This window comes from Homo sapiens, chromosome 1 (genome assembly GCF_000001405.40).
Source record: "Homo sapiens chromosome 1, GRCh38.p14 Primary Assembly".
Taxonomy (NCBI): Eukaryota; Metazoa; Chordata; class Mammalia; order Primates; family Hominidae; genus Homo; species Homo sapiens.
In genome coordinates, this window is record NC_000001.11 from 58107374 (window position 1) to 58133150 (window position 25777).

At 41.2% G+C, this 25777-nt stretch overlaps 1 protein-coding gene across 4 annotated transcripts in view, besides 3 other annotated features; it reads right to left on the minus strand.

Moving 5' to 3' along the window:
- The window catches only part of DAB1 (DAB adaptor protein 1), a 1551949-nt gene that overhangs the window by 1112596 nt on the left and 413576 nt on the right, over positions 1-25777 (minus strand). The window lies entirely within an intron of this gene.
- Positions 351-500: an enhancer, noted in NCBI's record as "active region_1081". NCBI's record gives its function as "activates an Ori minimal core promoter by ATAC-STARR-seq in GM12878 lymphoblastoid cells {active_cell/tissue: GM12878}" and the evidence as "EXISTENCE:reporter gene assay evidence [ECO:0000049][PMID:35858748]".
- Positions 691-920: an enhancer, noted in NCBI's record as "active region_1082". NCBI's record gives its function as "activates an Ori minimal core promoter by ATAC-STARR-seq in GM12878 lymphoblastoid cells {active_cell/tissue: GM12878}" and the evidence as "EXISTENCE:reporter gene assay evidence [ECO:0000049][PMID:35858748]".
- Positions 24257-24861: an enhancer, noted in NCBI's record as "H3K27ac-H3K4me1 hESC enhancer chr1:58597302-58597906 (GRCh37/hg19 assembly coordinates)". NCBI's record gives its function as "activates a minimal SCP1, AML or CMV promoter by ChIP-STARR-seq in naive H9 embryonic stem cells {active_cell/tissue: H9 hESC(naive)}" and the evidence as "EXISTENCE:reporter gene assay evidence [ECO:0000049][PMID:30033119]".

Below are 25777 nucleotides of genomic sequence, written 5' to 3' on the forward strand. Positions count from 1 at the left end.
AGCAGGAGAATCGCTTGAATCCAGGAGGCGGAGTTTGCAGTGAGCAGAGATCGTGCCACTGCACTCCAACCTGGGTGACAGCAAGACTCCATCTCCAAAAAAAAAAAAAAAATCTAAAAAAAGTAATCTAACCTAGCAGTCAGGGTGCCAGGGAGGGTTTCACAGAACAGCCAGAAAGAAACCTGAAGAGCCTTTGGCCAGGCCAAAGGGAAGCTAGCATGTTTTTTTTCTGTTTTTGTTTTTGTTTTTGTTTTGTTTTTGAGATGGAGTTTTGCTCTTGTCACCCATGCTGAAGTGCAGTGGTGCAATCTCAGCTCACTGCAACCTCTGCCTCCCGGGTTCAAGTGATTCTCCAGCCTCAGCCTCCAAAGTACCTGGGATTACAGGTGCCTGCCACCACGCCCAGCTGATTTTTATATTTTTAGTACAGCCGGGGTTTCTCCATGTTGGTCAGGCTGATCTTGAACTCCTGACCTCAGATGATCCACCCACCTTGGCCTCTCAAAGTGCTGGGATTACAGGTGTGAGCCACTGCACCCAGCCAAGCTAGCATGTTTTAAACACAGGGAAAAAAATGGGCAAAACCTGGGAGGAAAATGAATGGGGAAATCTGAAGGACCCACAGTTTGTTCAGGGGGACTGGACAATGGACAGCAAGAGAAGTAGAGAGAAAGTTGCTGTGAGAGAGGAACTCATGAGTCTGGCTGCACACAGCACTGGTGAGAAATTGAGACTTCATTCTGAGAGCAAGGGGGAGCCCTGGCGGGATTTTCAGCAGAAGGTAAAACTCTCAGATTTGAGCTTTAGTAAAATAATTCTCACTACTCTTTTGAGAATGAGCCCAAACAGAGGAGACTGAAGCTGTAGGGAGGGCCCTGGTAATGTCACAGGTGTGAGATGAGGGTGAAGTTGAACTAATGTAGTAGAGGTGGGGATAGACAGAATTGAGAGATACCACCCTTAGGGCTGGTTGTTACTTTCAGTGAGTGCTTGGATCCATACTGAATGAGCCTACTGGAAACCATATCATGAACAAAACTAACAATAGTGGATTTACTTACCAAGTGCTTCTGATGAAGCCAGGTACTCGACTAAGAACTTAAATATACTACCATATTTAGAAATGAAAACAACTTGATGATGGTGGCAAAGTTATTTTCTTTATTTCACAAATGCAGATTCCTAAGACCCATTGGAACCTTACTAAACCCACATCTTCAGAGATGGTGCCCGGGAATATGCATTTGAGAACCAGTGCTCTCAATGTGCACTAAGTTTTTATTGCCACTGCTATGAGCTCCAAAGCAAATGACATTTTTATTCTGGGGAATGGCTTCAATTAATTAAAAAAATTTCAATTCCAAAAATAACAATTTCAATTAACCTGTGCTGCCTTATGCTTAATGACATACAGATGCCCCAAATAGTATGGAATACTCCAGTGACAAGTACACGTAAAACACTGAGCTGAGAATGAGACTGACAGCACTCTTAAGTAGAGATACTAGTTTAGAGAGAGGTGTCTTTTGGGGCCTCAAATGGAATAGTCTTGAGATGCAGAGAACAGTCTGGTTGAAAGAAGATGACACACTCAAGATTCAAAGGCAACTCAGGCATTGGAAAGTACCTGAAATACCTTCAAGTCTGAAGATTTTCAAACTGTGTTCCAGACACCACCGAGCTTCCTTAAATGTTATTAAAAAACAAGGTGGAACCTAAACTTTTAGTGTTGGGGCTTTCCTCACCCAAGTAATTCAGCCTTTTAACTGCTTCACATATGGGGTTTGATCTAGAATTCTCTTTGAAGAAAGGGGACAGGAGATTTGGAGAGAAATAAATGAAAGGAATTTATGCAGTCACCAGGTCTAACACATGTTTTGTGAGCATATGCATACCAGGTGGGCTCAGTGTGAGGCATGAAAGAACTAACGTGAATAGGGTCAGGCCTCTGCCTGCATCTGTTAAGAATCTTTGGGTGCAAGCAACAGAAACCAGCACCAACAGACTTAAACAAGTAGCAGGATTTGCTAGATCACTCAGGGTAGCTCTAGAATGGATCAGAGAATTGAATAATCGGACTTCAGGCAAGAAAGAGCCAGGAGGCTCTAGGGATCTTGGTGAGGAGAACTAATGGATCAACTCCGTAAGCCTGTCAGCAGAATGACTTTGCTCTAGCCCAGGTGTCATTCCTCTCAAAAACCAAACACTCTTTGTATTTTTAGTAGCCTAAAAAAAGCTAGAGTCTGATTTGTCCAGCTTGCATCATACTCACGTGGGCCAAGGGCGTAAGGCTATGGATGGGCTGATGGCAAGGAAGGATGAGTTACACTCCCAGCCAAAGCACACGGCAAGAAGTGGGGTACTTCTCCAATGGCAAAGGGGGTATAGTAAACAAAGTGAGGTGGAATGGAAGCTGAATAAGCAAAAAGAGCAGCTGCCTACTAGATCTCCTGCAGAGAAGGGGAGGTTTTGGAGATAAATATTTTTTGATCTGCCCACCACTGCCCCCACTCCATGTCTGAAGCCTTCTCCCTAGTAATCCTTCTCTCCTACACTGTGATATGTGATATGAATAGATGCTCATATGTTCTTACAGGTTTACCCAACCTGGTCATGGTTGATTGGTCCTGGTCCAGGGATGGCCCATTCTGGGCCAATCAGGGACTCTCCCTAGAACTTTAAAACTTACAGTTGTGTCCTTAAGGATTGTTGGTAGCCATTCTTCTCCACATTCAGGAAGCTGACCACAGAATATTAAGACACAGAGTCAGGGAGAATTGTGGCTTTATTTGAGCCCTTAATTCTAATTGTCCCTGAAGCCAAACTACACACAGTGGCCCTTGTCACAATGGCATAAAGCAATCTAATATTTTCAAAAAACAAATAAGCAAAACACAATACTTTTTTTTTACCTTAGTTCAAAGTGGGATTCTGTCATTTTCAACTAAAAGTGTCTTCACCAATAATAAGTGAACAAAAAGCTGAACATCAAGGTCATGTGTAGCAAATGCTATCAGAATGATATGATTGATGTTAAGGAAAAACTAACTGATAATTCTAACAGCTCTTATTTACTGAGCACCTAGCTTGAGTCAACCAGGCTAGGTATCTGACATACATTATTTGATTTACTTTTTGTGTCAGCCCTGCAAGGACATCTTTACCTCCATCTCACAAGAAGAAATTGAGGCCAGAGAAGTTAAAACACTCACACATTATTGTCCAGCTAGGTGATAGCAAAACCTGGATTCAAATCTGATCCTAGAACACACTCTCTTTGTCCTGCAGCCAGAAAGCAGAGAGGCACTCTTTATCCTTTGCAACAATGGGCAGGTCCCCCATGAGCTTATCAAGAACTACAATCAAGTTGCATCTCTGCTAACTTAGAATATAAAATCTTTCTGGTTTGTTTTTGCTGAGTCTAGACTTCATGTTAGTTATCACTTCATTATAGCCCATTATTATTTAGGAAGTTGCTGGGGAGTTAAGTTTGCAAACATATTTCAATAGTACCTCAACTCCTCAGGCCACCAGACTGTTGCATTTCTCACAGTGTGCAGTTTTTACAACTCTCTTTTCTTCATTAGGGTAAGAATTTATAAGCCTGACACCTTGGCCAGGGAATTGTGCATCACTATTTCTGAGTTAGGGCCCTTCTGGGAGGGTGGTGTGTGCAGCAGAATGCTTTCTTTGTGCAGTGGGTGGAGGTGTATGTTATTTGTAGTCAAGACCATATCAATACAAATAGCACAAGTCTCTGCAAATTCAGATGGCACCCTAGCGTAGGAGAAACAGTGTGTCTGAAGTCAAGAGAAGCTAGAATTTCTTCCAGACTCTGCTTCCACATAGCTGTGTAATCTCAGGCAAGTTACTTCTCCTCTCTGGGCCATATCTGGCCACAAATCAAATAAGAATGTTGTTCTAGATCATTCTGTCCCATTGAACCTTCTCCATGAAATGCTAGAGCAGCACAAGATGTTCTGTGAAAAAGGATTTTGGGAATCAAGTAAACTTGAGAAAAGCCACATTAAAGCTAAATTGATTTCATTACTGAGTTTTCTAGAGCCTTGAATATGCTATTTGCTCATGATCCCTCTGCAATACAGAATGCAGTATTGTCCAGATTATTTTTTAATAAAGGGATTTGATATTTTTTCCAAGAGCAACTTTTAGCATTCCACAGCACATGGTGTTTACTTGGAACACATTTTGGGAAACGTTGGATCAGAGAATGAGGAAATGTCTTTCTCTGTTCTTTTTCTTTGTACCACAGTAAGTCCTGTTCTCATATCACTGCGCCTGCTGCTCTTATCTGAGTTCTATCTCTTTTGTTCCATCCTAGATCTATCCACTTGTCTCCACTTCCTCTGTGGCTGCCCTAATACAAGCCACAACTATCAATATCATTCTCTCTCTCTCTCAGCTCTGAACTGCCCTCCATGGTTCCCTTCTTGCTCTTACTATAATCCTTTCTCCACAAAGTAGCCAGAAGTTTAGTTTTTAGGAAGTTGTACCAGTTCCTTGATGGCTTAAGATGCTACAGTAATGATCTACTGCACTTAGATTAAATCCAAAAGCCTTATAATGGCCTCCAAGGCCTTACACAAACCTCGACCTACACCATCCGTCTAACTCTGTCATGTCACTTGCACCCTTTCTCCCTATCCCCCAGTGGCAATGCCTTGGCACCTACTATTTCCTCTGTCCAGCATTCTCCACCCTCAGGCCCTCATGTCACTGTCACCCTGCAGGTTTCAGCTCAGGCATCATCTCCTTAAGAAGCCTGTCCCTGACCACTCCAACTGGAGGAGCCCCTCCAATCCCCACTCACCCTTTTACTCATTCCAGTTGGAAAGTATTTCCTCACATATATGTTAACTTATTTATTGCCTCCCTCCTGTTCTGAAGAATGAAAGTTCCTTAAGAGCAATGACCTTGTTTGCCTTGTTCAGGGCCATATGCAAAGAATCTATAACAGTGCCAAGTATAAAATAGGCATTCAATAAATACATTTTTGAATTAATAACTGCATGAATAGATGTTTTCCCAATTAAACTATTAGTTCTTTGAAAGCAGAGACTATGTTTTATACTCTTTCAACTCCCAGCTGTGTAATCCCAAACCTGAGACTATTTTCTCTCCAGTAAAATGGAGACAATGATAGGCACCTCAAAGATGCATATCAAAGATTAAATGAAACTTTCAATATGTTTCTAGCAAAAAATGCCTGGCACATAAAGCACATGGATGATAGTTTGATTTCTGTGTCACTCTTCATGGAAACCATAGGTCCTAATTCAGTGCTCAGCACATAGTAGGCACTCAATACATGTTTCCTAAATGAATGATGAATGAAAATGTCATGAACAATTTTCTAAAAATCCTTCAGCCAGGCATATTTTATGAAGCACCACATACATGCTCCTAAAGTACATGATCCTGTCAAGTGGGTGGTGTGATGTAAATATGATGCCCCACGCAGAAAATGGAAGCCTCTGGAAGGCTGTGGGGACACTCTTCCCTGAAGATTTTAAAGATAAAGAAAAGCCACAGCTCTGAGACACAATGCTTCCTGTGAGAAGATGAATGGATAGAATGTTGACTGAATTCTTGTTAAGTGGCACTCACCATGTTGGGCATAGAAGATGAGTAAGACACATATGTTTTCTGTCCTTACAGACCCTGCAGCCCAGTGGGAGAAACAGACAAACATGCAATTATAGAGCAGAAGGGTGAGGGCTGCAAAAGGATCGTGGCACAGAGGAGGGTGCCAGAAACAGGCACAAGAAGTCAGGAAATGCTTCCTGGAAGACATGATGCCCAGACTGAGTGGAGAATGAGGAGGATTTTGCAAGGAGATGAGATGATGGGCAGGATTCTGGCCAGACAGGACCGAGCTGTTGATTGGTTGGAGGGTGCGTGGGAGAGGGACATGTTAAAGATGGTACCAAGGATTCTGGTTTGGGCAACCTGGTGGCTCGTGATGCCCAGGTGAATGGTGTCCTTCCCGAATTCCTCCACTGACTGACACAGGCCTGTATCATTTGCCATTAGCAAACTTCGGATTCCTCCAAGTTCCAGCTTTTCAGCTGCATCTTCCACTCTGCCATCATAAAAGTATCTGTTGTCAAAAGCTGAAGCACAAATGGCAAAAAAAACTTCTGTGTAATGAGAGTGTGTGTATGAGTGTGGGCATGTGTTTGTGTACTGGAATCCCTGGAGGGTTTTTGTAAACGAAGAGCTAACTTCAATGACCCTATTGTGGTAATTAACACACTCCCTAAGCAGACTGTGCTGCTGCAGGAAAGATAAGGGGAGCTCAAATAGGGGCAGATTTGATGCCAGGAAATTTGTGCAGTGTTTGGAAAGTATAGAAGGTCCTTGAAGTACGGGGAGCATCTGCAGAGAGGAAGGCTGTTTTCAGTAGGAGTTTTGTGTACAGCTCTGGAGCTCACAAAGCACTTTCACAATCATGATTTTATTTAATCTCCCAAGCATTATAACTGTTCTTGATGAAAATATTTGAATAATATAGGAAGGTGCCCCCCCAAAGTGAGAGACACAAGATTGCTCTCTTATAAGTTAATTTCTGGCCAGGTACAATGGCTCACACCTGTAATTCCAGCACTTTGGGAGGTCCAGGTGGGCGGATTACTTGAGGTCAGGAGTTCGAGACCAGCCTGGCCAACAGAGTGAAACCCCGTAATTACTAAAATACAAAAAAAAAAAAAAAAAATTACCTGGGCATGGTGGCACATGCCTGTAATCCCAGCTACTCAAGAGGCTGAGGCAGGAGAATCATTTGAACCTGGGAGGTGGTGGAGGTTGCAGTGAGCTGAGATCAAGCCACTGCACTACAGCCTGGGCAACAGAGAGAGACTCCATCTCAAAAAAGAAAAAAAGTTAATTTCCACATCATCATTAATGATAGGTAACCATATGTAGAGCCTCCTGAAGGAGAAAGAAATGGCTTCCTATCCATTCTCATCCATATGCAGGAAGGAGGATTATCTAGTCCCGAACAAAAAAATGTTGGCAATGACCCTTTGGATAACATTGAGAGAGATAGGTAGACATAACCAACCCTGCATTCCAGTCTCATTGCCAGGACATCCCTAACATGGAGATGGATGTACAACAGGGGTCATCAAACTATGGCCCAGAGGCCAAATCTGGCTTCCTGTAAAGTTTTATTGGAATACTGTTATGCCCATTTATTTAAGTAGTGTCTATGGCTGCTTGTACAAAACAATGGCAAAGTAGAGTAACTGCAACAGAGACTATAAAGCCACAAAGTGTAAAACACATACTATTGATCCTTTGCTGACCCTGACGTAGAACATTTTACAGCAGCAGACACTGCAAAGACTCTGCCAACACCTGCCCTTAATCCTCTTCTCCCTCGTCATCCCCTACAATAAGCAAGGCTGATATTCAATCAGTGTGTATTGTTACAACTGTGCCAGTTGCTCATGGTTGGCATCCACTGTGATTGGATTATGTCTGTGCCCCGCCCATCATTTGTTAAAAAAAATTAATGTCACTCCAGTGATAGAAGCTAGAAAGTTAAATTACTCCAAAAGCAATGGCAACAGAAGACAAAATTGACAAATGGGATCTAATTAAACTAAAGAGCTTCTGCACAGCAAAAGAAACTACCATCAGAGTGAACAGGCAACCTACAACATGGGAGAAAATTTTCGCAACCTACTCATCTGACAAAGGGCTAATATCCAGAATCTACAATGAACTCAAACAAATTTACAACAAAAAAACAAACAACCCCATCAAAAAGTGGGCGAAGGACATGAACAGACACTTCTCAAAAGAAGACATTTATGCAGCCAAAAAACACATGAAGAAATGCTCATCATCACTGGCCATCAGAGAAATGCAAATCAAAACCACTATGAGATATCATCTCACACCAGTTAGAATGGCAATCATTAAAAAGTCAGGAAACAACAGGTGCTGGAGAGGATGTGGAGAAATAGGAACACTTTTACACCGTTGGTGGGACTGTAAACTAGTTCAACCATTGTGGAAGTCAGTGTGGCGATTCCTCAGGGATCTAGAACTAGAAATACCATTTGACCCAGCCATCCCATTACTGGGTATATACCCAAATGAGTATAAATCATGCTGCTATAAAGACACATGCACACGTATGTTTATTGCGGCACTATTCACAATAGCAAAGACTTGGAACCAACCCAAATGTCCAACAATGATAGACTGGATTAAGAAAATGTGGCACATATACACCATGGAATACTATGCAGCCATAAAAAATGATGAGTTCATATCCTTTGTAGGGACATGGATGAAACTGGAAACCATCATTCTCAGTAAACTATCGCAAGAACAAAAAACCAAACACCGCATATTCTCACTCATAGGTGGGAATTGAACAATGAGATCACATGGACACAGGAAGGGGAATATCACACTCTGGGGACTGTGGTGGGGTCGGGGGAGGGGGGAGGGATAGCATTGGGAGATATACCTAATGCTAGATGACACATTAGTGGGTGCAGCGCACCAGCATGGCACATGTATACATATGTAACTAACCTGCACAATGTGCACATGTACCCTAAAACTTAGAGTATAAAAAAAAAAAAAATTAATATTAAACAATTCATCTATACAAAAAAAATAAAAATAAAAAAAAATAAATAAATTACTCAGTTTGTCAACCTGCCTTGAAGTTAACTGTGGCCAGGTGACACAGTTTTAAATAATTAAATGGAAGTAGAAGTCTGCTGAAAAAATTCTAAGAAAGCTTTAGCTTTAGCTTTTTCTCCTTCTTCCTTCCTGGAAAGTAATACAATGCCTGGCACTGAGGCAACCACTTTGTGAATAAGAAGTAGAATGATAGAAAGAGGCTATGTTCCTGGAAGCATCTTTGAACAATTAAACCAATGCTAACAACTGCCTATATCTGGACTTCTTCTTAGGTGAGGAAAAGAAAAGCACTATTTGTTTAAGCCACTATAAATTGGGAGTTTATGATTTGTTGCTACACACATTCCTAATTGATACAGTAGCCAAGGGCCTTAAGTATTCCAGGATCTGCTAGCAAATCCATCCATATAGTGAATGGCCTCATCAAGTGCTTCCAATATACATCAGACTCATCTAACTTCCTTGATCTTCTTCAATGTTTGCCATGTATCTTTTAAATAGGATTTGCCTGATGAGTGGACTGTGAGTCAGAGATAGCAATTCTAGTCCTGGTTCCACCACTGACTGGCTCTCTGTCCCTGAGCATTCCTCTTGCTCTCTCTAGATTTTCCATTTCTTCCTCTGTAAAATAAAGAAGCTAGACTTCAATCTCTATTCTTTCTTCCTAGTTTTTCACTCTATAATTCAGTTCTTTAATTCTGAAACATCATGAAAAAAGAATAAGGTAACAGCTGCAAGCAAGCATTAAAACATAAGCTTGCTAGCTGCCAGGGCAAAAAAGAAAATAATGATGACATAACTCATTTTTTGATTAAAAAATACAAGTTACACAAGGGATGGTTCTTATTGGCACAAAATCCTAAATGACTTTATAAAGAACACAAAGGACAACCTAACAGGTATTGTCTTTGCGAGTGGACTTCTAAGCCTTCTTTTCAGAAAGCCCAAAAAGAGCAGTGTCAATGCTGGCATACTCATTTGCTCCTCAAAAATGCTCTGTTCATCTATTGGTGAATATTAATAGCTCATATGTTACAGTATTGTTTCTGCCACTCACACAAAAATGATGAGTATCATTTACTAAGCAATCTCAGCAACTAATGCACACCGGATATTTCTATTTGCCTCTCCCAAAGCTCAGAGGCTTCCCTGCCTACCAAAAGAAACGTGTTGCCTGTACTAGTAAGTTACTTATGCATGCCCAGTACTTTATAATTAACAGTGTCTTACTCTAGTTTGCATTTGTTCTTCAGGACAATATGTGAAAGAGGCAGAATCAGAATAATTATTCCATGTTGCAGATGATAAACAGTCTCAAAAAGCTTAAGTGATATGATATGGTTGCCCATATTAGGTTCAGGACTGACCTAATTCCATCTGACTCCATGCCTGAAGCTCCTGCAGCAAACACTGCCACCTCTTTCCACACCAGGTATTGCTCATGTCCAAATCCTGGCACTTCCATCAGGGACCTCTTTCCCAAATGATCTGACGCTTCATTGCGTGGCTTCAAACCAGCAGCTTTGATTCCACTGTCTTTCTGTTTCTACCGCTGTCACACAGAATCAATGAAGCATCAACATATTATCCCAAATATATAGTCCTGAAGGCAAGTTTGATGCCTTATGGTAGCCTTGTTATGGCTGATTTTTAAAAATTAAGATTAGAAACGGGAAAATGAAACAAGTAAAAGATATGAATTGAGTCAATAAAGGATAGCCATGCTTCACTGTGTGCTTCAACATCTGAGGCTGACCCTAAAGACCAGATATCATGCTTTGTTTTTTTTTTTATATTTTTTTTAATATTTTTTTTCTGGGCCAGGTGGGGGTACAGACATTGCTCTTTCTTGGGGCGGGGGACAAGATCTCACTCTGTCACCCAGGCTAGAGTGCTGCAGTGGTGCAATCATGGCTCACTATAGCCTCGACTTCCCAGGCTCAAGTGATCTCCTACCTCAGCCTCCTGAGTAGCTGGGATCACAGACATGTGCCACCATGCCTGCTAACTTATTATTTTTTTAATGTTTTGTAGAGACAATGTCTCCTTACATTGCCCAGGCTGGTCTTGAACTCCTGGGCTCAAGCAATCCTCTTGGCTTGGCCTTCCAAAGTGCTAGAATTACAGGAGTGGGCCACCGCACCCGGTCAGGCCTTGTTCTTGTCTTCTAGGTCAGTGTTCTCAGACTCCCTCATTCACTCACTCACTCACTCATTCAGCAACACAGGAGTAGAGATGACCCAGACATTTGTTAGAATAGGCTATAGCGCATTCAGCTTAAGAGCAAAGACTTGGGAGGTGGAGTTAAAACCATCTCTCTATGCTTTGACTTCCTCATCTTTAATAATAATCATACTAGATAATACTTATAGGAGATAACTTCATGATGCCAGGCACTATCCTAAGGCATATATATATATATATATATATATATATATATATACACACACACACACACACATATATATATATAAAATACATATATATACATATATATAAAATACATATATATATATACATATATATATAAAATACTATATATATATACATATATATATATAAAATACATATATATATAAAGATCCTGTAGCAATACATATGAGTGTACATATATATACATATATATATCCTCATAAACTCATTTAATCCTCATAACCACAAATGAAGTAGGAACTATTTTTATCCTCTTTTTACAGACAAGAAAACTGAGGCACCAACAGGTAAAGAAAAATTGACAAAGACCACATACCTCGGAAATAGCAGTGCTGGGCAGTACAGCTCCAGAACCCATGCTCATAACCACTACACAATACAGCCTACACACCAGTGCTGTCCAATCGAACTTTCTGCTCTGATGGAAATGTTCCATCCAGTAAGCTAGCCACTAGGCACATGTGACTAGTTCAATACTAGCCATTAGCCATACATAGCTATCAAGCTCTTGATAGTACCATCAAACAGCTAAATTTCTTATAACCTTTTATACACTTGTGCAGTAGATGTTTGCAAACTGCTCAGCACAATACCTGGCATTTAATAGGCACTCAATCTATGTGAACTACTATTTTAATAGTAGCAAGCATTGAACAAATATTTATCTGCAATCTCTTGTCTGAATTATAAAATCCAAAGAGCTCTGAAAATCAAATATTGTGTGTGTGTGCGTGTGTGTGTGTGTGTGTGTGTGTGTGTGTATGCTTAATTCAATTTGGCAGCAAAATCTAAGCTGGCCTGAACTAATTTGGTGGCACAAACTGACATGAACTGACAGAATGCTACTTATAGTGTTATGCATCCTACATTATTTGTTATATGTTTTACAGCAGAAATATTAATGTATTTAATTGTGGGTGCTGCCCCAAGCCCAGCAGGGGGTATTATGTAATAAGTAATATATGTATCCCTGTCTTTCTCAGAGCTGAATCATTCTAAATTTCGGACACACATCTAGCCCCTAAGGTTTCAAATAGGGAATCATGGACCTGCATTTACATTTTTATAACAGGCTAGCTATGATGGACAGAGCAGAGAAAACAGGGCCTGACCTGGAAACCTGAGTCTCCACTCATTGCTGTTGGAGAGGAAAGCAGGCCTTCTCCAGGCAAGCTGGAGCAGAGAAATAGCCAGAGCTGCCCCAGGTCGGGAGCAGAGAGGCCTGAAAATAGGACAACAGAGCATCCATGACAGCCCTCTTCCTGGGGCAGCCACGTTTCCAGTCATTGCTTTATGAATCTATTCAATAAGTTTATTTAATAGTCCTGCAGAGAAAGGGACATGATGCTCCTATTTATTTAGTAAGTTCATTATCGTAGATGCGCTTGTGGGACTCTAGACTAATGCTACACAGAGCTAGCTGCTCCCCTGTGCAGATCAAGCCTCTGCTGCCTCTCACCTTCCTTCCCACCCTATCCCCACATTCCAAAATTTGGAAAAGTGGATATGCCTTCCAAATAGTTCTCTCCATCCTGATTGCTGGTCCCAGAGCCTGAAATGTCCTTTACTGGCCTCGTCTTTTGTGATCAGGCATTTTGTCCTGCAGAGATATCAACTTGAAAGGTAATGTAGTGAGGTGGAATCTGGACTTCCTGTGTGGTTTGGGGTAAATAACTTAGACTCTCTGAGTCACGATTTCCTCACTCCTAAAGAGTAGCAAGTAATATCCCTTCAAAAGGTTTTGGGAGGAATAAATAATGACCTCAAAGTGCCCTAGAAAAGCATGGGACACTGGAAGCACCCATTGAGGAGTAGTTGACAGATCTAAGCCCCCTCTCAGTGCTCCCTGTTTGTATACAAATGTAGTCATCATCTTTCATTACAACGAAGAAGAGAAAGCATGAGTTTGGAATAAGCCTGGCCTGGATTCTATTCTCAGTTAGGGGACCTTATAAAAAGCTTATTACCCCTATGAACCTCAGTTTCCACACCTGTACATGGGAATAATGCTTACCTCTTATGCCAACACCCTTAAGAAACCAAAGGGATACCAACATACCTAGAGAACCCTGCACAATGTCTGGCCCACGGAAGATGCTTCCTTCCCTTGTCCACCCTTTCCTTCTTCTAACAAGGCAATGGCACTAAAAGACTATGGCATTTTCCTTCCAACTTTAGCTGCCTAATAATTCCTAACTAAGAATGACAGAATTCAATACTGAAATCAATGAAGAAGAACCACGTGTCCCTTTTTAATCAAAATCTAAAATGACGTAGCCCTCACCTGCGGCCACATCAAAACATAAGTGAGACAAGAAGCAATGGAAGAGGGTACTTTTCAGTTACCTTCTTTGGAGAAGCAGGAGCCAGGCGAAGGTGGCCTCTGTCTTTAATGATAGGATATAATTCCAATTTCACAACTTAATTATGACCGGATGAAAAGGACAGCATGAAAAACTAGGTGTAGGGTAGGGAGTTTCATCTCGTTAGGTTCACTGACACCTCATTAGGGACTTTGAAAAACATTCTGCTTCCAGGCAATTTTGCTACTATCTTGATTTTTTTCCACGTTTATCTGGCTCCATTTATTTGACTTGACACAAGTAGGAAAATGGGATCTTTGATTTTTTTTCCCAGCTCATCAACTAGCACTTCTATTTCTCCACTTCATGCCACAAGGTTCTTTTTCAGGTTATGATCATCAAGATACCAGAGGATCAGAGCTGCCAGAGTAACCTTCCAAAACATGAGCTGGATCATGTCACTCCCAATGCCAAATCTTTAATGGCTTCCCACTGTCCATACACAGTAGCAGGGTATGCAAGTACTACCTACTTTTCAGACCTCATTTCCTACCTCCTTCTTCCAAAATGTCTATTCTGATTGTAAAAGGGCTACTTAACATTCTTCCCCCAGGCCCAAGAGAAAATCTTATGATGTTCATGATACTCCCATCTTATTTCTCCATTTCCCCTACCACCTAAGTAAATATCATTTCTCCCTGTAGGTTCAAGTCAAAGATTCAGTTCTCTCTCAAAATTTGTTTCATCTTCCCAATTAGAATACACCCCTCACTCTTTCTTAGTTCTGCCAGCATGAGGATCATCTGCACCAGGACATCCTGTCATGAATGATAGCCAATACTTCATGTCTGCCTGCCCGACCCAACTGTGAGCCCTACCATTGTTAACTTTCTGTTCTCTGTTAGTGAAACACACTACACAGGTGTGTCCCAATCAGTTCCAAGATGTGTCAGAAACATTTGTTACCTCTAAGATACCAAGCATGGAATGTACATGCATACATATATATATATTTCAAAATAAGTAAACGATTTGGAATTTTCCTCTAATAATACTCTTCTCACTCCTTTCCTTGCCTTCTTAAGTAGAAGCGAAAAGAGTTAAGTTGAAGTTAGAACATGCAGAACTATGCATATCCCTGAGTTCTCCCATGGCTCTGTGCCTTGTGTATATTGTGAGAAAAACTAAAAGGTTGAGAAGTTCCTCTCTGTAGCACCAAGTCAAGTCATGTAACAATATGATAAATACACGGAAGACAAATGGGACTGTTCTTGATCATGCTCTGAGGCCTGGGATCCTTTCACTTGACTTTGATGTACAGAACTGTTTATTGTACCATACCATGGACAAAAGAGGAAAAGTCTGGCAACATCTGGAACCAAAGAGAATATCTTAGTATCTTAAGCACTATGCACAGTTTATTTGGAAATAGTGCCACCATTGCATTAACTTTGCATGTTAGACTGACTGTGGACCCTAATTAATTGTTGCAACATGGCAAAGGGATTTGGAGTTAATAGATGTGGGCCTAATTTCCTGCTAATTTGCTGTCTCAAAATAGTAGGATGACTTTGGGCAAGTCCCTTCTTTGAGCCTCCATTTCCTGAACTGTAAAGCAATAAACTTTAAAACATAGAGGAACTCCCACCTTGCAGCTTTGTTACATGGATCAAATGAGATGATGTATGTGGAAAAGGGCTTTGTAAATCACAAAGCCTTATAGCAATGGGAGTTAGTAGTTATTGGTATTAGGAGTTAGCCAAGGGTAAAATGCATCCTCACAACTGGGTTATTTGTTGTAAAAAAAAAAAATGCATTTTCACACCACAGTAAAGAGAATAGGTTTTGGAGGCTGACCACCTTGTGTCCAAGAATTGGCCCCATCACTTCCTCACTAGGTGATCTTGAAAAAGTCACATAACCTCTCTGAGCTTCATGTCTTTGTATAGGAAAGGGTGTTGACAGGGCTTTGGTGATTATTATTAAAAATTAACACATTTCTGAAGGATAGAGACATATACATGATAAATCACAGCACAACAGTTTAAATATTGTACCAGTTATTGCACTACGGAAGAAATAAGTTTCATCCATGAGCTGGGTTTAGAGAATGAGTACGAGCTTCCTAGGAAGAGAAGGCAAGAGAAGAATATATCAGGAAAAAAAGAACAGTAAGTGGCAGAAGTGAGAAAGTCCTGAAATCTAATTTATCTTCATTCTGCTTCCCTATAAATAAAATAGGAATAGAAATGTCTGCCTTTATTTTTCTGAGATATTCTGAAGGTGAATGAGATCCAGTCTTTGTTACACAATTCACCCCTTCCTAGAGCTGGCCCCTGACTGGTGACTACAAGGGCAAGTAATCGCCATGACAGCATTTAGGCCCATGGGGAGAGAAAAGACTCCATAGGATGGGACTGTTCCTCTCATTCTTTCCACTGTCCCCAGCTGTGTTTCCCAAAGATTAGGATGTGTCAAAACATTGAGAGAGATAGGGTACCGAAGCCATATGGTCTCATTGTCTGTCAGAGTCTTCCTGGGGCACATTTTCCTAAGTCCTTACTCCATCTGAAAGCATCTTTAAATCCAGAGCTGCAGATAGAATGATAAACTATATAGCAGGATTTTCCAATTGGTGATGGGGGCAGGGGTTGGAGGGAGATGAATAATAGCTAAGTAGGTCAAAAGAAAAGTATTTTGGGAGCTCTCTTCTTCTTTTATCAAGATGAAAACAGTTTACCTTGACGAAGCTCCCAAATTTTAGGCAGCCTCGTAATTTACCTTCTATAGAACATATAGTTCCCCTTTGTTCTGTGAAATCACACAGTGCTAAGTAAAAAGGCCTGCTTAGGGCCCTGGTGTGCCCTTACTAGCTGTCCGATCTCCAGGCCTTTAGTATCTCTGATCCCCAAATTTCCCATCTGGTAAATGAAGAAATTTGACTGATCGATTTGTTATGTCTCTTCTGGCTCTGTTCGTAAATAAAGTCTTATTCAATTCATGTCTGAGACTCTGTGCCCAGTACTGAGCAAAGGGAAATAATCATTTATAAGACTCAGGCTTTGCAGTTATATATGTGAGAGGAAGACAGAGGTTTGAAGCCATATACTAATACACACACACACACATACAACTTTGGTGCAAGACAGTCAGTGTCTTAAGAATTATATGAATTGTAGAAATGATATAGACTATTTTAAAAACATGAAGTGTAAACATCTAGGTTTTCATAGTAACTTGTCATCTCAGCATCTCAGTTACTGTGAATGTACATATGTATATAAATGTTTGAGTATGTGTGCGTGCATGTTTATCTGGTATCATCCTGTAGCAGTAGATTTGGGATGCACGTGGAATAAAATAGTTGCTATCAGATTATATATATATTCTTAGATTATATATATATATATACACACACACATATATATATATCCCAACACCTTATTTACCCAGACTCATAAACTCAAACAAAGATGGTCAATTACAGATTTAAGCACCAGCACTCTAAATAGTTATTATTAGAAAATAATGCTCTTTTACAATATGTTATTTTCATCACTGCTTCCTTAAATATGGTGTACAAAGTCAAGTCATCATTTTCAACATTGGCGGCTACCCTGGGCTGTATTCAGTAATGATTTAGGGGCTGTATGTGTCAGGGGAAAGATGAGTTGCCTGTGTTTGCATGACTGTGCTTTGCCAGGACACTGATCTACCTAAATAATATTTTGATATCTGCTTTTTTATTTGCATATTTGTGATGAATTATAGGTAATAAGCTAGATATGAAGGCCATCAGAGAAATGATTAAATACTAGGATACATGATTTCTCTTAGAGTCTCCTCATATTTTATACAAGGAAAGAGTCTAGCATAGCAGTTTAAGAATGTAGATTGCGGAGTCAGTGAGAGCTGTCACCTGTTATCTGTGTGTGCTTAGGCCAGTGTCTTTGCATTTCTGAGCCTTATTTTCCTTATATATAAAACAAGAATTATAACGTCACATTCCTCATAGGAGAGCATTCTGAAGGTTAAGTGAGATCACACACATAAAACAATTAGCAATGTACCCAGTACATGCTAAGTAGTTAGAAAGAGCATGGTAACTGCTATAGTATGAAGCAAACAACATGGCGTTAACAGATCTGGTTCTAGACTCTGCTTGTCATTGTCTATTATGATTATTGTTGCTGTCGTTATTATTATATTTGATCAAGGGGGATTCAAGGTCTGATTTTCTAACTTTTCTGGGATATGTATGTGATAACAACAGATAGAAATTATAAATTAATATAAAATGAAGCATTTTACTAGGGGCTTGCATTGCATGGAATATTAACTCACTGAAGAAGCATTTAAAAGAAAATTCAATGGTCTTGAAACACAGCACAGAGGTTCAGTAAGATTAGGCAGGAGTTCACTGTGTGGGATGTTTCACTAATTTGTTTATTTGTTTGTACAATGTAAAAAACATAAATTTTGGTTCAGTTGCATTTAAAATTCAGCAAATTTTATCTTAGTTTAGTCCAATGTTTAGTTAATATAAGTTCCTTTCATTCATTTAAGAAATCTCTGAGTAGAGTACAATCATAGTGCTAATACTACTACTAATAATAGTCATAATACTTACATATCACTTGATACTTTTTTTTTTTTTTTTCGAGACAGGATCTCCCTGTGTCACCCAGGCTGGAGTGCAGTGTTTGCAATCACAGCTCATTGCAGCCTCAACCTCCCAGTCTCAAGTGATCTTCTCACCTCAGCCTCCCAAGTAGCTGGGACTACAGGAGCATGCCACCATGCTTGGATACTTTTTAAAAAAATGTTTTGCGGAGACAAGGTGCCACTGTATTGCCCAGGCTGGTCTTGAACTCCTAGGCTCAAACAATCCACCTGTCTCAGCCTTCCAATGTGTTGGGATTACAGGCATAAGCCACCATGCCCAGTCTCACCTTAACACTTTTTATGGGACATTTAAATGCATTCTCTTCTGCTGATCACTATGAGGTACAATCAGCTCATTTTATGGATAGGAATACCAGAAAGGTAAAGAAATACAGAGAGGCGTGACTGGTTTATGACAGTATCACTCCACTCATGCTTTGGGGTGGAGGGGGTCAGTAAACAACCTAAAATCTCTATGACAGGCCCCAGGAGGAAGGAGAAGGGGACAGGCTGTTACCACGGAGGAGCCAGGGGAAGGGAGCAGGCAGGGGAGCTCACTAAACACTGGACTCCATTATATAAGACCCCTTCCACCCTCTAACATTCTGTCTCTATGAAAAAGAGCTTTCAAGCATCAAACTTATTTGGTCCTAGAATAAAATCAGTCTGACCTTTTCCCACAGAATGTGCTATCCAAAAAGAAAAGGCCTTAAAGAACCCACTTGGCATGGCTGCCCTGCTGTACCCATTTGCTTAACCAGAGCCAAGATTCCTGTTGGGGTAACAGGAAACGAAGAAGGGAACACACCAGCCCCTCAATACTTCTCGGCCTCCTGAGGAAGCCAATTCCCCCAGGGCTCTCCGCAGCCCGGGGTAGGGGGAAACCCTTTGAGGCTCAGCTTGAACCCATGAGCCTTCCAGAGCACTGAGAAAGAAACACATAGCAGTTCCATGACTCCTCATTCAGAAGGGGCCAATCTTTTTCTTTTTTTCTTTTTTTTTTTTTATTATACTTTAAGTTTTAGGGTACATGTGCACATTGTGCAGGTTAGTTACATATGTATACATGTGCCATGCTGGTGCGCTGCACCCACTAACTCGTCATCTAGCATTAGGTATATCTCCTGATGCTATCCCTCCCCCCCTACCCCCCACCCCACAACAGTCCCCAGAGTGTGATATTCCCCTTCCTGTGTCCATGTGATCTCATTGTTCAATTCCCACCTAGGAGTGAGAATATGCGGTGTTTGGTTTTTTGTTCTTGCGATAGTTTACTGAGAATGATGATTTCCAATTGCATCCATGTCCCTACAAAGGACATGAACCCATCATTTTTTATGGCTGCATAGTATTCCATGGTGTATATGTGCCACATTTTCTTAATCCAGTCTATCACTGTTGGACATTTGGGTTGGTTCCAAGTCTTTGCTATTGTGAATAATGCCGCAATAAACATACGTGTGCATGTGTCTTTATAGCAGCATTATTTATAGTCATTTGGGTATATACCCAGTAATGGGATGGCTGGGTCAAATGGTATTTCTAGTTCTAGATCCCTGAGGAATCGCCACACTGACTTCCACAATGGTTGAACTAGTTTACAGTCCCACCAACAGTGTAAACGTGTTCCTATTTTTCCACATCCTCTCCAGCACCTGTTGTTTCCTGACTTTTTAATGATTGCCATTCTAACTGGTGTGAGATGGTATCTCATTGTGATTTTGATTTGCATTTCTCTGATGGCCAGTGATGATGAGCATTTTTTCATGTGTTTCTTGGCTGCATAAATGTCTTCTTTTGAGAAGTGTCTGTTCATGTTCCTCGCCCACTTTTTGATGGGGTTGTTTGTTTTTTTCCTGCAAATTTGTTTGAGTTCATTGTAGATTCTGGATATTAGCCCTTTGTCAGATGAGTAGGTTGCGAAAATTTTCTCCCATTTTGTAGGTTGCCTGTTCACTCTGATGGTAGTTTCTTTTGCTGTGCAGAAGCTCTTTAGTTTAATTAGATCCCATTTGTCAATTTTGGCTTTTGTTGCCATTGCTTTTGGTGTTTTAGACATGAAGTCCTTGCCCATGCCTATGTCCTGAATGGTAATGCCTAGGTTTTCTTCTAGGGTTTTTATGGTTTTAGGTCTAACATTTAACTCTTTCATCCATCTTGAACTGATTTTTGTATAAGGTGTAAGGAACGGATCCAGTTTCAGCTTTCTACATATGGCTAGCCAGTTTTCCCAGCACCATTTATTAAATAGGGAATCCTTTCCCCATTGCTTGTTTTTCTCAGGTTTGTCAAAGATCACATAGTTGTAGATATGCGGTGTTATTTCTGAGGGCTCTGTTCTGTTCCATTGATCTATATCTCTGTTTTGGTACCAGTACCATGCTGTTTTGGTTACTGTAGCCTTGTAGTATAGTTTGAAGTCAGGTAGTGTGATGCCTCCAGCTTGTTCTTTTGGCTTAGGATTGACTTGGCTATGCGGGCTCTTTTTTGGTTCCATATGAACTTTAAAGTAGTTTTTTCCAATTGTGTGAAGAAAGTCATTGGTAGCTTGATGGGGATGGCATTGAATCTGTAAATTACCTTGGGCAGTATGGCCATTTTCACGATATTGATTCTTCCTACCCATGAGCATGGAATGTTCTTCCATTTGTTTGTATCCTCTTTTATTTCCTGGAGCAGTGGTTTGCAGTTCTCCTTGAAGAGGTCCTTCATATCCCTTGTAAGTTGGATTCCTAGGTATTTTATTCTCTTTGACGCAATTGTGAATGGGAATTCACTCATGATTTGGCTCTCTGTTTGTCTGTTGTTGGTGTATAAGAATGCCTGTGATTTTTGTACATTGATTTTGTATCCTGAGACTTTGCTGAAGTTGCTTATCAGCTTAAGGAGATTTTGGGCTGAGACAATGGGGTTTTCTAGATATACAATCATGTCGTCTGCAAACAGGGACAATTTGACTTCCTCTTTTCCTAATTGAATACCCTTTATTTCCTTCTGCCTAATTGCCCTGGCCAGAACGTCCAACACTATGTTGAATAGGAGTGGTGAGAGAGGGCATCCCTGTCTTGTGCCAGTTTTCAAAGGGAATGCTTCCAGTTTTTGCCCATTCAGTATGATATTGGCTGTGGGTTTGTCATAGATAGCTCTTATTATTTTTAAATACGTCCCATCAATACCTAATTTATTGAGAGTTTTTAGCATGAAGGGTTGTTGAATTTTGTCAAAGGCTTTTTCTGCATCTATTGAGATAATCATGTGGTTTTTGTCTTTGGCTCTGTTTATATGCTGGATTACATTTATTGATTTGCGTATATTGAACCAGCCTTGCATCCCAGGGATGAAGCCCACTTGATCATGGTGGATAAGCTTTTTGATGTGCTGCTGGATTTGTTTTGCTAGTATTTTATTGAGGATTTTTGCATCAATGTTCATCAAGGATATTGGTCTAAAATTCTCTTTTTTGGTTGTGTCTCTGCCCGGCTTTGGTATCAGAATGATGCTGGCCTCATAAAATGAGTTAGGGAGGATTCCCTCTTTTTCTATTGATTGGAATAGTTTCAGAAGGAATGGTACCAGTTCCTCCTTGTACCTCTGGTAGAATTCGGCTGTGAATCCATCTGGTCCTGGACTCTTTTTGGTTGGTAAGCTATTGATTATTGCCACAATTTCAGATCCTGTTATTGGTCTATTCAGGGATTCAACTTCTTCCTGGTTTAGTCTTGGGAGACTGTATGTGTCCAGGAATTTATCCATTTCTTCTAGATTTTCTAGTTTATTTGCGTAGAGGTGTTTGTAGTATTCCCTGATGGCAGTTTGTATTTCTGTGGGATCGGTGGTGATATCCCCTTTATCATTTTTTATTGTGTCTATTTGATTCTTCTCTCTTTTTTTCTTTATTAGTCTTGCTAGCGGTCTATCAATTTTGTTGATCCTTTCAAAAAACCAGCTCCTGGATTCATTAATTTTTTGAAGGGTTTTTTGTGTCTCTATTTCCTTCAGTTCTGCTCTGATTTTAGTTATTTCTTGCCTTCTGCTAGCTTTTGAATGTGTTTGCTCTTGCTTTTCTAGTTCTTTTAATTGTGATGTTACGGTGTCAATTTTGGATCTTTCCTGCTTTCTCTTGTGGGCATTTAGTGCTATAAATTTCCCTCTACACACTGCTTTGAATGAGTCCCAGAGATTCTGGTATGTTGTGTCTTTGTTCTCGTTGGTTTCAAAGAACATCTTTATTTCTGCCTTCATTTCGTTATGTACCCAGTAGTCATTCAGGAGCAGGTTGTTCAGTTTCCATGTAGTTGAGCGGCTTTGAGTGAGATTCTTAATCCTGAGTTCTGTTTGATCGCACTGTGGTCTGAGAGATAGTTTGTTATAATTTCTGTTCTTTTACATTTGCTGAGGAGAGCTTTACTTCCAACTATGTGGTCAATTTTGGAATAGGTGTGGTGTGGTGCTGAAAAAAATGTATATTCTGTTGATTTGGGGTGGAGAGTTCTGTAGATGTCTATTAGGTCCCCTTGGTGCAGAGCTGAGTTCAATTCCTGGGTATCCTTGTTGACTTTCTGTCTCGTTGATCTGTCTAATGTTGACAGTGGGGTGTTAAAGTCTCCCATTATTAATGTGTGGGAGTCTAAGTCTCTTTGTAGGTCACTCAGGACTTGCTTTATGAATCTGGGTGCTCCTGTATTGGGTGCATATATATTTAGGATAGTTAGCTCTTTTTGTTGAATTGATCCCTTTACCATTATGTAATGGCCTTCTTTGTCTCTTTTGATCTTTGTTGGTTTAAAGTCTGTTTTATCAGAGACTAGGATTGCAACCCCTGCCTTTTTTTGTTTTCCATTTGCTTGGTAGATCTTCCTCCATCCTTTTATTTTGAGCCTATGTGTGTCTCTGCACGTGAGATGGGTTTCCTGAATACAGCACACTGATGGGTCTTGACTCTTTATCCAACTTGCCAGTCTGTGCCTTTTAATTGGAGAATTTAGTCCATTTACAATTAAAATTAATATTGTTATATGTGAATTTGATCCTGTCATTATGATGTTAGCTGGTGATTTTGCTCGTTAGTTGATGCAGTTTCTTCCTAGTCTTGATGGTCTTTACATTTTGGCATGATTTTGCAGCGGCTGGTACCGGTTGTTCCTTTCCATATTTAGTCCTTCCTTCAGGAGCTCTTGTAAGGCAGGCCTGGTGGTGACAAAATCTCTCAGCATTTGCTTGTCTGTAAAGTATTTTATTTCTCCTTCACTTATGAAGCTTAGTTTGGCTGGATATGAAATTCTGGGTTGAAAATTCTTTTCTTTAAGAATGTTGAATATTGGCCCCCACTCTCTTCTGGCTTATAGGGTTTCTGCCGAGAGATCCGCCGTTAGTCTGATGGGCTTCCCTTTGAGGGTAACCCGACCTTTCTCTCTGGCTGCCCTTAACATTTTTTCCTTCATTTCCACTTTGGTGAATCTGACAATTATGTGTCTTGGAGTTGCTCTTCTCGAGGAGTATCTTTGTGGCGTTCTCTGTATTTCCTGAATCTGAACGTTGGCCTGCCTTGCTAGATTGGGGAAGTTCTCCTGGATAATATCCTGCAGAGTGTTTTCCAACTTGGTTCCATTCTCCCCATCACTTTCAGGTACACCAATCAGACGTAGATTTGGTCTTTTCACATAGTCCCATATTTCTTGGAGGCTTTGCTCATTTCTTTTTATTCTTTTTTCTCTAGACTTCCCTTCTCGCTTCATTTCATTCATTTCATCTTCCATTGCTGATACCCTTTCTTCCAGTTGATCGCATCGGCTCCTGAGGCTTCTGCATTCTTCACGTAGTTCTCGAGCCTTGGTTTTCAGCTCCATCAGCTCCTTTAAGCACTTCTCTCTATTGGTTATTCTAGTTATACATTCTTCTAAATTTTTTTCAAAGTTTTCAACTTCATTGCCTTTGGTTTGAATGTCCTCCCATAGCTCAGAGTAATTTGATCGTCTGAAGCCTTCTTCTCTCAGCTCGTCAAAGTCATTCTCCATCCAGCTTTGTTCCATTGCTGGTGAGGAACTGCGTTCCTTTGGAGGAGGAGAGGCGCTCTGCTTTTTAGAGTTTCCAGTTTTTCTGTTCTGTTTTTTCCCCATCTTTGTGGTTTTATCTACTTTTGGTCTTTGATGATGGTGATGTATAGATGGGTTTTTGGTGTGGATGTCCTTTCTGTTTGTTAGTTTTCCTTCTAACAGAGAGGACCCTCAGCTGCAGGTCTGTTGGAGTACCCTGCCGTGTGAGGTGTCAGTGTGCCCCTGCTGGGGGGTGCCTCCCAGTTAGGCTGCTCGGGGGTCAGGGGTCAGGGACCCACTTGAGGAGGCAGTCTGCCCGTTCTCAGATCTCCAGCTGCTTGCTGGGAGAACCACTGCTCTCTTCAAAGCTGTCAGACAGGGACATTTAAGTCTGCAGAGGTTACTGCTGTCTTTTTGTTTGTTTGTGCCCTGCCCCCAGAGGTGGTGCCTACAGAGGCAGGCAGGCCTCCTTGAGCTGTGGTGGGCTCCACCCAGTTCGAGCTTCCTGGCTGCTTTCTTTACCTAATCAAGCCTGGGCAATGGCGGGCGCCCCTCCCCCAGCCTCAATGCCGCCTTGCAGTTTGATCTCAGACTGCTGGGCTAGCAATCAGCGAGACTCCGTGGGCGTAGGACCCTCCAAGCCAGGTGCAGGAGATAATCTCGTGGTGCGCCGTTTTTTAAGCCCGTCGGAAAAGCGCAGTATTCGGGTGGGAGTGACCCGATTTTCCAGGTGCGGTCCGTCAGCGATTTCTTTGACTCAGAAAGGGAACTCCCTGACCCCTTGCGCTTCCCAAGTGAGGCAATGCCTCACCCTGCTTCAGCTCGCGCACGGTGCACGCACCCACTGACCTGCGCCCACTGTCTGGCACTCCCTAGTGAGATGAACCCGGTACCTCAGATGGAAATGCAGAAATCACCCGTCTTCTGCGTCGCTCACGCTGGGAGCTGTAGACTGGAGCTGTTCCTATTCGGCCATCTTGGCTCCTCCCCCCGGGGCCAATCTTTTTCAAAACATCAGTCTTAAAAGTAGGTTGTCTTGCTCATACAGCCAGGGATCTCTGAGGATCCGCCTGCAGTCTGCGTGAGATGAAACATCTCGATCTATCAACTGCCACCCCTGAAGGAGCTGAAGGAGCATCTCACTTCTTGTTTTCTCCCTAGCAGGGCCTATTTGACAGGGTAACACAAACAGGATTCTGTGCTCCTCTGAGAATCCCCCTTCTACATATGGGAGAGCCAGCCTCGCCAGGATGCTGTCTGGATGAGGCTCAGACGTAGACTCCTGGGTAAACTGTCCTGGCTGGTCTGTAGCCTAATAGGAGACTGAAGTAGTAGGTCGCACCCTGGATAACAGCACAATTAAAGTGAATTAACATAATCCAGATATCAGTTCTGATATCTGTGTTAGTGTTAGCTAACCCTTTAATAGTGTTAACTCAATTGTGTGACCCTCAATTCAAAATTCTGAGATTTCTTTTGTACATTCCCACGAGCTTATACTCTCTTGGGCATATCTGTATTTACATACAAAAAGCTGACAGATCATTATCAGTTATTTCTTAAAAACTGAATGTTTCTCTGTCCCCTTCTTCCATTTCTGATTCTTGGCATCAAAGCTGCTATGGTTTTGGAAGTGGCCTAGTTTGGCACACAAGG